We start from the raw sequence: 14,345 nt of genomic DNA on the forward strand, positions 1-14,345 counted from the left end.
CCCGATATTAAGACTCTTGAGGAGATCAGTGGCAGCGAATGACCCTTTTACTGTCTCCATCATTTTACCTTTTCCAGGATGTCATACAGTTTGATCATACAACATATATAGTCTTTCTAGACAGACTTCTTTCACTATGTGATGATTTTTAACTTAATAAATATTTATAAAACTTCTCAGTTTTGACTTATGATAAATTTCAATAGATACAATTCACATGAACAAAATCTCTTTGGGCCTTCAATAATTTTTAGGTGTATAAAGTGGTCCTGAGACCATTCAGTTTGAGAACTGCTTATGTCCAATCTGCTATCACTAAACTACTGCCGTTTTCTTCTGTCACAGATATTTGTGTATCTGCTGAGTACAGGGAGAAATTAAATCCAGTGTTTTTCTCTGCAGTCAAATGAAGCACAGTATCTGTTCTACAAATAATTCAGCAAAATGCTTTTGCTTTTCCTGGTTTGCTGGAACATGTTCATGCTGTTTGGAGACCCCACCTTCTTAGGAGGCTCTTCTGTGGGTCCTTTAAGGCCCAAGTCCCATCTTCAGGCCTTTTGGGACTGGGTTGACCTTCCTGAGCCCTGTGTCCTCTGAATGAACTGTATTACTCTCAAAGGCCTACATGCTAATATAACTTTACTTCAAATAGTAATAAAGATACTGAGCTTCATCTGACTGAAAAGCAAAAAAATATCGGATTTAACTTTTATAGATGTTCCTATGATATTTTACTCCTGGCTTTGCTTCCAAGTTAAATTCAATCTTACTCTTAGAGATGTCCAGTTCAGTATCCCCATTACTAACTGTCTGAACCAGTATCTTGATTTCTTTACAGGGTACTTCATCTAATCTAGAAGCTTTTCAGTCAATCATACACACTACTGATAAATTCATATTACTAAAGGACATGGCATGTAAGACCATCTGCAATTTGCCTTCAACAAATGTTTCCAGCTGTGCTGAGAACTCTATACATAACCACGATGGAGGTTTGCTTTTCCCGACATCCTTCCCATTGTTTTCCCATGTGCTCTTTCTTCCCTCCCCAATCTCCAACTATCCAGATTGCCCTTGGTGCTTTGCACAGAGGAGCTTTCCTGCAACCTTTCTGGAGAGCTTTGTCTTGTTTGGCCAATCAGAAGCATTTCTCCTGTCAACTTCCACAGCCCTTTATCTAGGCTTCTCTTCAAATATACTATTTTTGTGCCCTGAACATTATTTTTATGCATGTTCCTATGCCTTCCCCTCTCACACACAACTATAATAGTCCCTTGAACATAACAGGCTCATAATATAGATTAATGAATCCAGAAGTGAAAGTATCAGGGACTAATTTGTAACGTAAGACTGAAGAATAAGAGCTTGAGGAAACGGCAGGGAAAAAAAACAACAGAATTGCATTATATCTTTAGGAAGAAGCACTAATTCCCATGTTTACCATTACTCTCATCTGCCAATTTTCTTGTTTAAGTAGAAAAACATCAGGTTCATTTTTCTGTTCTCTTTTGTTGATTAACTATATCTATGATATCCCATGAGGACTCTTACTTCTTTAAAAAACTGGTTTCCTCAAATCACTGAAGCCGTAACACAAGTTTCTAAAAGTAGTAGTGCCGGCCCTAAAGCTGTTAAGGTCTTCTGGTTCACTCTGCTAGGTCAAATCTTCTGGGAATTTGATATAAAAGCGTTCTACAAAATCTTAAAGCTTCTTTTAAATAACAAATGAACTATGGTCAGGCTCCACTCAGTATACTCTATTAGAGCTGAGCTTTTGTCACTTAGGTTCATAAGATGGGTAGTAATGAGAAAACATTTCTCTGTAGCATCAAATAAGAGCTTAAAAATACAAACTAACAAAGCTTTCATCTTTTAGAAAAAAGGAAGGTTAGTGGGAATCAAAAGAAATTTCTAGACCCAACTTTCTCACTTTTTATCTGAGGGAACATGGGAAAAAAATCACTTTTCCTCAAAGTTAAATAAAGATAGCTTAAAACACTATTCCCTGCCCCCTAACAGTCTCTGTCTCTCTCTGTCTCTCTCTCTCTCTCTCACACACACACACACACACACACACACACACACACACACACACAGAATCTAAACTGCATCGTGCCATATTAGTTTAAGGTTGTCCTCTCACTTCATCCCTCCTACCCTCCACAGATCAACACTGTCCAAGAGAAATATACTGCAAGCAATGAATGTGAGCCACATATGTAAATTTTCTAGAAGCCACATTTCAAAAAATAAAAAGGAACATGTATATGTAATTTTAATGTAGTTATTAAACCCAATATATCCAAATTATTATTTCAATAAGTAATTAATTTAAAAATTAGAAATAATTTACTTTTTTCTCATGTCTGAAATCCAGTAAATATCTTATACTTACAACATATCTCAATTTGAACTAGCCACATTTCAAGTGCTCAATAGCCACAAGTGGGTATTGGCTACCATACTGGACAGAACAGGTCCAGACTTCCATGTGCTCTAATGCTAACTCAACTATTTTGATGCAAGAAAGCATCAATATGTCCTTGGACTGTAATCCTCGTAAGGACAGGAGTATCTTTACAAAAACACACACATACACAAACTTGTTAATTAGTTGCCATAGTAAAATTCCCCTCTGATGCCACCCACAAAATTTACATGTTTAAACAATTGGTATCTGGGGTATCTAACAGAAAAGCCTTGAGATAAATCAATCTATACTTAGCACAGGTGACCTATGACAGTTACGTTAATGTCTAGGATCCTATTTCCTTATAAAGAAGGTTAGAGGAGAGACACGAAGATGCTCTACAGGCAGTTTAACATTAAATATTCTTTACATTTCCAGACTCTCAAACACAGCCTAGGACAGGGTAACAAAGTCATAACCACCACCCCAACACGGTCAGAGGCCAGATGGGTAACATATATGCATAAGGAGACTGGGCCCCAAGGGCCTCAACATAAAGACAGGATATGACAGGCAGTAGCACTGTGGTGACCTAGAGAGCTCCTCCCAGCCTGATGCTGGCCACACCTACTAAGCTCCAGCATAGTAACCACAGGGAGAGCAGGCTCAATGTCATCAGAGCTTCTGATTTTTCTAAAATTGCTGACTATCTTCTAATGTTTAAGCACTAATAATTGATTCAAATTCTAAGATATACCCTTTAGGCCAAAACAAAAAACAAAACTGTGGATATGGCCTGCTTGTCTCTAAGCGGTCAGTTCTGTCTTGCCCCTCTCCCCACTTTTGGTGCCAATTTTTTAAATTGGAGGGAAAATGTAGCATTTGTGACTAAGAGGTTAATAACTTTAATCTGAAAAGATTAGTTACTCATCTTTTCAAGTTACTAGGCTGTGTGATAACCGTGAAAACTGAGGGATAATTTAAATGCCCATTAGTAGGGATTAAGTAAACCATCATGCGTCCATTCAACTAATCTCTATAAGAGAAAAAAATAGACACCTGAATAGGAAAATGGACAAAGGACACAAACTGGCAACCAAAAGAAATGCAAATTATATGTGTGTGTCTGTCCCTGTGTGTAGCATATGTATGCATGTATTCCAACTTCACTAGCATTGAAAAAACACAAAGAAGGTTCTTTCCTCACAGTTTAAACAAGGGAGAAACAAATGCTCTTTCCTGATCAGACTAGCAAAGCTTTTTTTTAATGTTTAATAATGTTTAGTTGTTGCCAAGGCTGTGGGGAAACATATGCTCACAAACTGCTAGTGGCGGTCTATGTTTGCAGAACCATTAAGGAGGACAATTTGGTAATATGTCAAAAACCCTTGGTGGGCAAGCAGTGGTGGCTTATGCCTGTAATCCCAGCACTTTGGGAAGCCAAGGCGGGTGGATCACCTGAGGTCAGTCAGGAGTTCGAGACCAGCCTGGCCAACATAGGGAAACCCCGTCTCTACTAAAAATACAAAAATTAGCTGGGCATGGTAGCACACGCCTGTAATTCCAGCTACTCGGGAGGCTGAGGTAGGAGAAACGCTTGAACCTGGGAGGCGGAAGTTACAGTGAACCAAGATCGTGCCACTGCACTCCAGTCTGCGCGACAAGAGGGAAACTCTGTCTCAAAAAAACAAAGACAAAAAACAACCTTCGTGGCATACCAACTCCACTTTTAAACATATTTGCCCTGGAGAAACAATGAGATCAACATACAAAAATGTACAAACAAGTATAATCTTTGAAGCTGTGTAATAATTGTGAAAACTGAGGGGTAATTTAAATGCCCATTAATAGGGGTTATTTAAGTAAACCATCACTCATCCATTCAACAGCTGCTGAAAAATGATGAGGTAACGACAAGGACCAATAACTATAAAGTACTATTAAGTGGAGGAAAAAGCAAGAATCACAATATCAGCCTATATGGAAAGGGGGGGTGTGTGTATGTGAGTGTCTACATGTGTGTATATTTATAAGTACACACATACACACTGGAAAGAAATTCTCTATCTCTGGGAGCATGGGACTTATGGGTCACTGACATTTCCTACTATCTCTCCCTTTTAAAAAGTTATAACCCCTCTTTTATTACCAGAAAAAAACAATAAAGATAGTTTCATTTGAAAAAATAATAGTCAGTAATGGTTATGTCCAAGAGCAAGCCTTGGGGAATGAGTGACTACTGCCTGGTCTTAATGTACGCATTAGAGCAGTGGTACCCAGCACCTCTTGTGTGGGGGGAGTTCAAATAGATTGTAACTGACTCATTGATAACACCTGGTAGATTTAGCAATGTTAAATGAGAACATTCCACAGCATTTCAGAGTGAAAACTGGCTATGCCTAAAACTCACTAAACCAAAACTAGCTTTTTATTTCTATGCAGAAGTCAGTCCTCATCTGAGGTGTGATTAATCTATATTGAAAATGAAGCAGTAATAAGATGCTAATTTTAGGTATGAGACTAACACAACTAGGCAAACAGAATAAAATAAAAATGCAACACACCTGATATGCCTGCAGAACTGAAATAGTCATCTGGAAGTCAATAGGTTTGTTCTCTTTGAAGGTCAGGGGTGACACTCATCAGGGCCCACATGTAAATGAGTGGCTCATGATTAGCTAGAGCTCAGTTCAGCCAACAGGGTTCTTTTCTCTCATCAAGTCAGCTAGGCAGCTAATGTTAATTTCCTGTTTGGCTTATGAGTTCATGTTTTGAAACCCTGCACATCACCCTGACTTTGAAACAAACACAAGATTGTTTTGTTTAGAAATTGGCATTCGTGTACCCACAACAGTGGAAAAAGCAACACGACTAATTTAGAGGTATTCACTGCAGGTTAACGGGTGGGATGTCTAAGAGGTTCCAGTGAATGGTGAACTGACCCTGCTTTTAATAATCACAGCACTAGCTCCAGTGGCTCCATGACACCTAATGTTCTCCCATCTTCTCAGATGAAGGCAGGCAGAGCTCATGGAAGAGCAAAAGGTCCTGTCACTGGGTTTTCAACTTAATATGTTTTCATGTGTTTTCAACCTGTTACAGGGCTCTCTCCCTACTACCACACTGAAACAGCTCTGACAAAGCCTCCAGGCTGACTTCTGTTCATCAATTTCCAAAAACATGCTCATTTGGTTTTTCTGCCATATTTAATACTTGGTTACTCTCTCCTTCTTGAAGTTATCTTGCCTTGCAGCTTGTGTCACCTCCGCCTTTTCCCTGTTTCCTTTCTGCCTCCTGGCTCCTCCTTCTTTATGGCCTCTGTTTCCCAGACCTCAGCTCTGAGCTAGCCCTGGATAACACAGCTCAAAACACAGGCTTCATCAGTACACAATTCATTCAGGGGACTCACAAATCTCTCTCCTGCTCAGAAGCCTGTTGCACTCTCAAAGCTCTTGTGCTCCCAAATGTGCCATTTCTGCATTTCACATGCATCTCAAACTCATTATCTCTGGGGTAGAAAATTCTCATTTTTATTGGACTCTTAAGAGCAAAAAGGGTTCATGGCCGACCTTGTAAGTTATAAAAAGTTCTTAACAACCTGCCTTGGAAACAAGCCCTTCTGCTTCTATTATCATCCCCAGTTTACAGATGACAGCTCTGGGACAAAGGGATGAGACCAGCCAAGGTCAAACAACTAAGAAGTAGATATGAACCCAGCAAATCTGCTATCCTATGCTCCCTCTTAACATGCAGACGATCCAGAAAACTTCCAATTAATCATGTCATGTTATAAGATGGGGCCTTATAGATTCATTTCTAAGTTTCCTCCAGAATTCCCATGACAGTTGGTCTCTCCGGCAGTACCGCAGAACCAAAAATACACCTTTGCTTTAAGGTAGCCAAGCAGAGAAGACCAGCCATAGTAACGTGGCCATGACATGCAAAAGACAAAACTCATGTATTGCACGATTCAAATTATAGGTGCCAACATCAACTCCCTGCCCAAGCCAAAAACCTAAATATGATGTGTGATTCTCCTCTGCTCCCATCTTCCCAATGCACTAACTTCCACAGCCTCATGCTGACCGTCAACAAGTCACAAAGAAGGTAAGTTACATCCTTACCATCTCTCAAACACAGGAGGAGCAACCCCATCACTTTCAGGATAGTTTAGCCTCCTCAGCTTGGCTTAGAAGACTCCTTAACATTGGGCCTCTGCCTCCTTCCTCCTGCATCTCCATCGCTCTCCTACAAGTATCCCACAATCCAGCTACATCTGATTTTGCACTGTTCTTGGAGCATCAGGTTCAATGCTTCCAATCCTGCCTGGAATGGCCCCCTTTACTCCTTCTTCACAGAGCTAACTCCTACCCAGCACGAAGCTTAAGTGAAACATCTCTGATGCTCTATTCTGATTCAGAGGTCTCTCCTTCTTGTTCCCATTACACGAGGTTCAGAATATTATCACAAAACTTGAAATTCTTCTGCTACCACTGATTTATTGTCTGAAGAGCAGACCTTATTTTATTTGATATTTCCATGGGAAAACAGCAGACGATACCCAGTGGGCATTCCATACATATTTATGCAATGAACAAATAAATGAATGGATGAGTGAAAGGATGAGCAGCCACTCCTCTGTCGTTTCATCCTTCAGGTGCTCACTGATTTTGGATGAACAGGAGGCTTCATTCACTTTTTTACCTGACATCAATTATTACTCTAAGAGTCAGAGAGGCTCCTGTGAAGTCTGGGTTGGGAGAGCTCCCTCTCCTGTGGCTCATTCTTTCTGAGACCACACAGATCACACCACCAAGCCTGGAACCCTTCTTCCTCCTGATCGGGACCGTTTGGGAATACCACTGCAGTGGTGATAAGGTCAGCAATATTTTTCATCCATGTGAGGGCTCATAAATATGCATTTGGGCTAAGCCGGCAGGAGGGAGTAGTCCTTGAAAGGACATTAAAAAGTTACAAAGATTTAGTGAAGTCCTCATCTGAAGTGTGTTTTCTTTTTAACGGGGTTTGCATTTAGCTCCTCTCTGCCTCACAGCTGGCTGCCATCCACTGAGAAAGGTGGACTTGGGAGGTTCGTCCTCTGCAGGTTGTTCTTTTACCATCTTTCTGTTTGCTCTCCCCTCCCCCTACTTTCAACACTTGATCAAAAGCTCAGAGCTACTCCAAAGGGCAAGATCAGGTCAGGAGGAGAGCTTTATGTGCCTGAAAAAGGGAGACGGAGCAGATACATTGCAGACAGTTCCCCTTCTTTTTTGACATTCCGATATTGTCCTGATCCTGCTCTTTGCCTCAGCCCACCTGCTGCCTCTGTGGGATTCTGGCAGGGCAGCCAGACAGTAGCTGAAGCAGTGAAAACACACTCTTCCCAGATCTGACAGTCACCAGCAAAGGAAATTTTTTAAGAGTGAGCTGCAGCCAGTGGGGGGTGGAGATGCCAAAATGACTTTGAGACACTGAGGTCATTCCTAGTCATCCTTCAGATTTTAAACTCAAACTTCGTTTCTCAAGTAAACTGGTTTCTAAAGGAAATTGGTTAAATTTATGATAGTTCAAGTCTCCTATTTTGTTCTCTCATAGCATTTTATTTCCTTCAGAGGGCTGATCACATTTACATTTTGTTCATTTGTTAATATTCACACCTACCTTCCTGGAGCACATCCTCTCTGCCAAGGAGGGGGACCATGTTTGCTTTGTCTATCACGGAATCCTCAATACCCAGCCCTACCCTAGCACATTTAGGCACTCATTAAATACTTTTTGAATGCATGAATGAATCTTTCCAAATTTATCTAGTTTGTTCACCTTATATGTAAGTTTATACTTTAACTTCCTAAATCTGTTTAACAAGGCTTCTCATAAAAGTTAGCCTCTGAGATGGGCAAACTTCAAAAGTTGTGTGTGTGTCTGTGTGTGTCCATTGTAAAAATGAACATAAGGTGCTAGGAATAAGTGATACAATGAATTCATTTAAAAACTTATTAAAATGCCACAAGTGAAGGTGGAGCTACTGGTAACGCTTAGAGTGTCACCAATTTTTTGCTAGTATTCCTGATTAAGAAGCAACTGATTCATAAAATTTAGAGAAAAAAACATCCAGTGCTATTACCTTATGTTTGTATAACACTCACTTTTCTCATTCATTATCTTATTCTATCCTTAGAATAAGTCCTATGAGTTAGGAAAGGTAGATCATACCATTCACTGACTTGCCTAATGTCAATATAGTTGGATATCTGGCAAGATGAAAACATAGCCTTCAGCCTTCTGACTCCTAAGTAAGAATGCTTTTAGCCTTCCCTATTTAAAACCATTAGGAGCCAGGCGTGGTGGTGAGCGCCTGTAGTCCCAGCTACTCGGGAGGATGAAGGAGAAGAATTGCTTGAACCGAGGAGGCAGAGGTTGCAGTGGGTTGAGATCACACCACTGCACTCCAGCCTGGGAGACAGAGGGATACTTTGTCTCAAATAAATAAATAAATAAAACCATTAGGGGGCCAGGCACAGTGGCTCACGCCTGTAAACTCAGCACTTTGGGAAGCCGAGGCAGGCAGATCACTTGAGAACAGGAGTTTAAGACCAGCCTGGCCAACATGGCGAAACCCTGTCTCTACTAAAAAATACAAAAATTAGCTGGGCGTGATGGTGGGCGCCTGTAATTCAAGCTACTTGGGAGGCTGAGGCAGGCAGAATTGCTTGAACCTGGGAGGCGGAGGTTGAAGTGAACCGAGATTGCGCCACTGCACTCCAGCCTGGGCGACAGAGCGAGACTCCGTCACAAAAAAATAAAAAATAAATAAAACCATTAGGGAAATACATCTCAAAGATAAAAAGATCAATATCCACATACAGCACAGTACATTTACTCAGGCCACTGGATGTTTTATTTTTACTAAAATTGTTAATGATTTCTGCTTATGGGCCCATTATATACCCTGTGTTTAAAATAGAATCTCAGATATGAAGAGTCAGGTTGCTAGATATAAGATAAATATAGAAAAGTCAACTGTATCTCTCTATGCTAGCAAAAGCTAGAAAAGATTTGTAAGACCTCATTTGATTAAAAAACTATATAATTTTAATGAAAGACATTAAAGAAGATATATACAAATAGAGACATCTTATGTTCAAGGAAAAGAAGGCAATATTAAAAAGATGTAATTCTCCCCATATTGAACTACAGAGTAGATACAATGCCAACTGAAGTACTGCAGGATTTAATCTTAGAACACAGCAATCTGATTCTAAAATTTGTATGTAACAGGAAGAGCCAAGAATGAAGAAAAAGAACACTATCGGTGGTGGGGGGAGGGGGTGCAGGGGGATAGAGACATGCATACCATGTATCAAGACCCATTATAAAGTTATAGTAATTCTGGCACTGGAGCAGGGATAGACGCATGGACCAATAGAAATAGTGTCAGAAACACCCCCACACATAAGAAACTTGATATAGGATGCTGCAGATGAGATGGGGGAAAGAAGGGCTCTTCAATACAGTGCTGGAATGCTGGCTACTTATGTAGGAAACTTTCTCATCATTTAGAAAAAATGATTTCAGATGGATTAAGAATATATGAAAAACAATGTTAAATTTCTACATAAAAAATATCTTTATCACCTAGGGGTATGGAAAAAACATAAGTCATAAAGGAAAAGCTTGATAAATTCAACAATATTAACCCTATTCAACTATTTTAATAATGAAAGACAAACCACAAGCCTGAAGATATTTGCAACATATAAAATTGACAAAGGATCAGTATGTAGAATCTATCAAGAATCAATTAACAATGAAAGAAAGAATGAAAGCAAAAGCAGGCAAGAGAGGTGAACAAGCATTTAAGGTTTTGAAGTTTTTGGCCATCTGTATTTTCATAGAAGAGAAAACAAGAATGGCTAATAACCATATGAAAATATATTAATGAAGAAAGTGAGAATTATAATCACAGTTACACATATTTACCAAACTAGCAAAAATTAAAAAGTCAGAGAGGCAGCTGTAAAATGGTAGGAATCCTTGCCTCCTAGTGGATGCAACAGCAGGTGGCTGTGCCACGCAAGGTAGAAAATGAAAATGTGTAACCTGTGACCCAGCCATTCCTGTGGGTTACCTATCTATTGACTGTTCAACATACAGATTATTTTAACAACAGAAAGTAATCTTAGTATGTGTTATTGTGTGATAAGACCTGCTTCTTAAAGCCCTAATAGATAATTATAAACATTTACCCACTTCATCAAGATTTAGTTATCACATGGAAACAGCATAATGTGTTAACTAATCCCCTACTCTTGACCATTTAGATTATTTCAATTTTTTTTTTGGCTAATACTAGCAAATATAATACTCTGGTTTCTCTTCAGGGTGTGTAAATCTTTTGCCTGTTACTAATACTAGCAAATATAAATTTATACAAATATAAATATTAAAATGTGACAAATACCCTTGTAGGTGAATATTTGTATATATTTCTGATTAAGATAAATTCTTATAAGTAGTTTAATGGTAGACATGTTTAATGTGGATATTTTTTAGATATATTTGTGTCAAATTGTCCTCCATAAAATATTACTAATTTATACAGCAGTATATATTTCCTGCAGCCTTCCCAACACTATTAAAAACATAAGTTTTGCCAAATTTATAGGTGAAAACTTGTCCACTGAGTTTTTAGTATGCATTGATTTAAGTAATAGTGAGGCTGCACATTTTTTGTTTATTGATCTTTTAGTTTGCACATAGTTTACTCATTTAATTCTCTGCCCATTTTTCTACAAAAGTGTTTAAATTTTCTTAATGACACAGTAGAGTTCTTAATATACTCAGGATACTATTCCTTTCTCTGCCAAGCACATTAAACTTAATCATTTATTAATCCTTTGCTTTTGTTTCTATTGGCTTAACTGAAGTATTTATTTCCATTTTTACACAGTCAAAGAAATCTTTTCCTTTCTGGTTCATTCTCAGATGTATCTTTTTTTTTTTTTTTTTTTTTTTTTTGAGATGGAGTCTCACTTCTGTTGCCCAGGATAGAGTTCAGTGGCGCAATGTTGGCTCACTGCAACCTCCGCCTCCCAGGTTGAAATGATTCTCCTGCCTCAGGCTCCCAAGTATGGGATTACAGGCATGCACCAACATGCCCATCTCATTTTTGTGTTTTTAGTAGAGATAGGTGGAATCAGCTCATCTCCCTCTTATCTCTCCTACAATAAAAATCTCTCATCCAAAGAAGGTTAATAGCATCTTCCAGAAAGGGTCAATGTGAATATTAATTAATGTAACTTACAGTAATGTGCTTGATAAACAGTAAAGCAATATATGAATGTCAATCATTAGCAGCCCCTCAATAAATCAGAGTTATTGACACCACATGACCATCAGTTCACAGAGATTATATACACCCGAGCAGATGCACCTGGGGATGATAACAGTCTAGAAAGTCAAATGTACTATAGGAAGAAGACACTGATATGAACTTTCATTTCACATCCTTTCACAAGTTCAGGAGTACAGAGCAGTCACTAGAAAGGCCACAGACAATGAGGGCTCTCTTACCTTACTTAATCTTCCCCTTCCTCAGCCAACTCTGTTTCTTTGTGTACCACCACTCTTGTGACCGACATGTCAGGGTGCTGCTCTCTGGCTTCCCTGATCGCCTGAGCCAGTGCCTGCCAGGGTCAGGACAGAGAACGGCTGTGAGCTGGGGAACAGCCTCCACCTCACAATGGCAAAACACACACACACTGATCACCTCGGACCCAACCTCAAGCCAAGAGGCACTCACTTCTGTATTTGAGAAAGCAGGAAGATTTGAAATGGGTTCACTGTCATTTTACAGACTGCTTCTCATTTCCTAAATCTCCCAATTCTTCAGTCCACTTTCAAATAATGACACGTAGAGGAAACATGTTGGCTTTGAATCCCAGGCTTATTATACTCACTGTGAGATTTGGAGAAAACAGTTCTTTGGAGCTTAGCATTCTTACCTGTAACCTGAGACTAATGCAGAGTTGTAACGATCATTTTAAGGTTTTCTGTGTGAACTAAAGTAATGCTGTAAAGCAGCCAGCACAGTGCCTGATCTAGACATTCAGGTGATACTAGCTGTCACCCAATTGCCTGAAACTGCAAGGCAGAGGACCAGGCCTTGCTCATCTTTATCTTCTTAGGCTCTCAGTAATTGTTTGAACTAAAATGTTTGCTGAACTAAAAGACTGCAGGAAAGATGTCTATAAACCTCTAAGACACAGAACTAAAGAGCAGTAGCAACAACATACAATTAGTAAAGCTAAAGAACAGAGACTGACTAATCTTCAGGTTATAAAATACAGGTCCCTATTTGACAGTTGACAAAACTGCAGGCACAAAGATTAATGGGTCTTTCTCAAGGCCATCCAGCCTGTGAGCAGCAGGATAGGAGCAGGGAGGACCCAGAGGGCTGACTCCAGTGGTTTATGGTCCTTCCTTGGACCACGTGGTAAGAAAGCAAAGTTTCTCTGTGTTTTATCAGAAAGTAAACTGTAAGAGTGTTGTGGCACAATGGAAAGATCCTATTTTTCAGAGGAGGAAAATAGCTTTCCTAATTATTACTCATTTTGTTTTTAAAGTATGGGTGAGAAAACAAAACATCAGAGAACCCTTGAAGTCTAGGAAAGAATTCTAAAGGCCAGGCGTGGTGGCTCAGGCCTGTAATCCCAGCACTTTGGGACGCCAACGCGGGCGATCACTTGAGGACAGGAGTTCGAAACCAGCCTGGCCAACATGGTGAAACCCAGTCTCTACTAAAAACACCAGGCTTGGCTGGCGCACGCCTGTAATCCCAGCTACTTAGGTGGCTGAGGCAGGAGAATTGCCTGAACCGGGAAGTGGAGGCTGCAGTGAGCCAAGACTGCACCACTGCACTCCAGCCTGGGCAACAGAGTGAGACTTTGTCTCAAAAAAAAAAAAAAAAGTCTAGGAAAGAATGCTAAAACAAAGAGAAAATTTTACTAGGACAGAGAATACCATATCTCATAAGGAAACTGCATTTGAAATAAAGCCATGCAATTTTTTCTTTTGCTGTCAGCTGCCTAAGGGGACAACTGCATTTCTTGTTTGCATGATAGTTTCTGTCAGCTGTAAGGATACTAAACAGAAACCCTAAGCCTCGTTTCGTTTAAAAAAAGGTAAAGCTACCAAAAAAAAAAAAAAGACATCATTTTCATACAGAAAATTTTTTGCACAGAAACTTGGAAGACATTTGAGGGTGCTTAAATTTCCACCAGGGAACAAACTCTTGTGAGTGACCTGTGTTGGGACAATAGAGAAATAAAACATGGAACCAGACTCCAATCTGGGCAGTAGCAGAAGTGTTTGTCAAGGCGGGAGAGTGAATGGCTGGAGGGCTAGCGTGGAGCAGGAGTGGGAGCAGGTATCTGGTTCCAGGGAAGGGCAGAGAAGCTTTTCAACGTGTTGACTGGAATGGGAATAGGAAAGGGAGAGGAGGCACAGGGGTGCAGTTCTACATTGTGTTTGTGTGTGTCTTCAGAGGGAAGGAGATTGGAATGATCCAAGCCATTTACTACATGTTGGTTTGTGCAGTCCACACTGGGAAAAGTCAAAGACAAGGACAAGCTCTGATGGGAGCCAAACGTAGCTACAGACAAATGATCAAATACTTTGAGTATCTGATCTACAAAGATCTGCCTACAATAAAGCAGGGCAACTGTTCAAGAGAAAATGTAGATGATGCCCAAGGGAAGGCAACACATATGAAATACACTCTAATTCACAGAAAGATTGGGAAAAGCAAAAACTGCTACAGTCATCTTGAAACACATTCAAAATCAGTTTGTTAAAACTCCTTTCATTCCATAATATCAGCATGCAAAATTAAATACTGTAAAATGTTAATTTATTATGGCAATAATAAGGATTA

General features: G+C 39.7%; 1 protein-coding gene across 23 annotated transcripts in view, besides 1 other annotated feature; it reads right to left on the bottom strand.

Moving 5' to 3' along the window:
• Positions 1-14,345, bottom strand: part of EPB41L2 (erythrocyte membrane protein band 4.1 like 2) — a 223,899-nt gene that overhangs the window by 6,801 nt on the left and 202,753 nt on the right. For all 23 annotated transcript variants that reach the window (NR_146620.2, NM_001135554.2, NM_001350314.2 and 20 more), the window contains one exon: positions 11,984-12,096. Coding sequence is in view for 22 of the 23 variants with exons in the window: in NM_001135554.2 (NP_001129026.1) it covers positions 11,989-12,096 (108 nt within the window). In the remaining variant the exon portion in view is untranslated. The remainder of the gene's footprint in view (positions 1-11,983; positions 12,097-14,345) is intronic.
• Positions 2,832-2,971: an enhancer, noted in NCBI's record as "active region_25062". NCBI's record gives its function as "activates an Ori minimal core promoter by ATAC-STARR-seq in GM12878 lymphoblastoid cells {active_cell/tissue: GM12878}" and the evidence as "EXISTENCE:reporter gene assay evidence [ECO:0000049][PMID:35858748]".

Source organism: Homo sapiens, chromosome 6, assembly GCF_000001405.40.
Source record: "Homo sapiens chromosome 6, GRCh38.p14 Primary Assembly".
In the NCBI taxonomy this organism is placed as follows: Eukaryota; Metazoa; Chordata; class Mammalia; order Primates; family Hominidae; genus Homo; species Homo sapiens.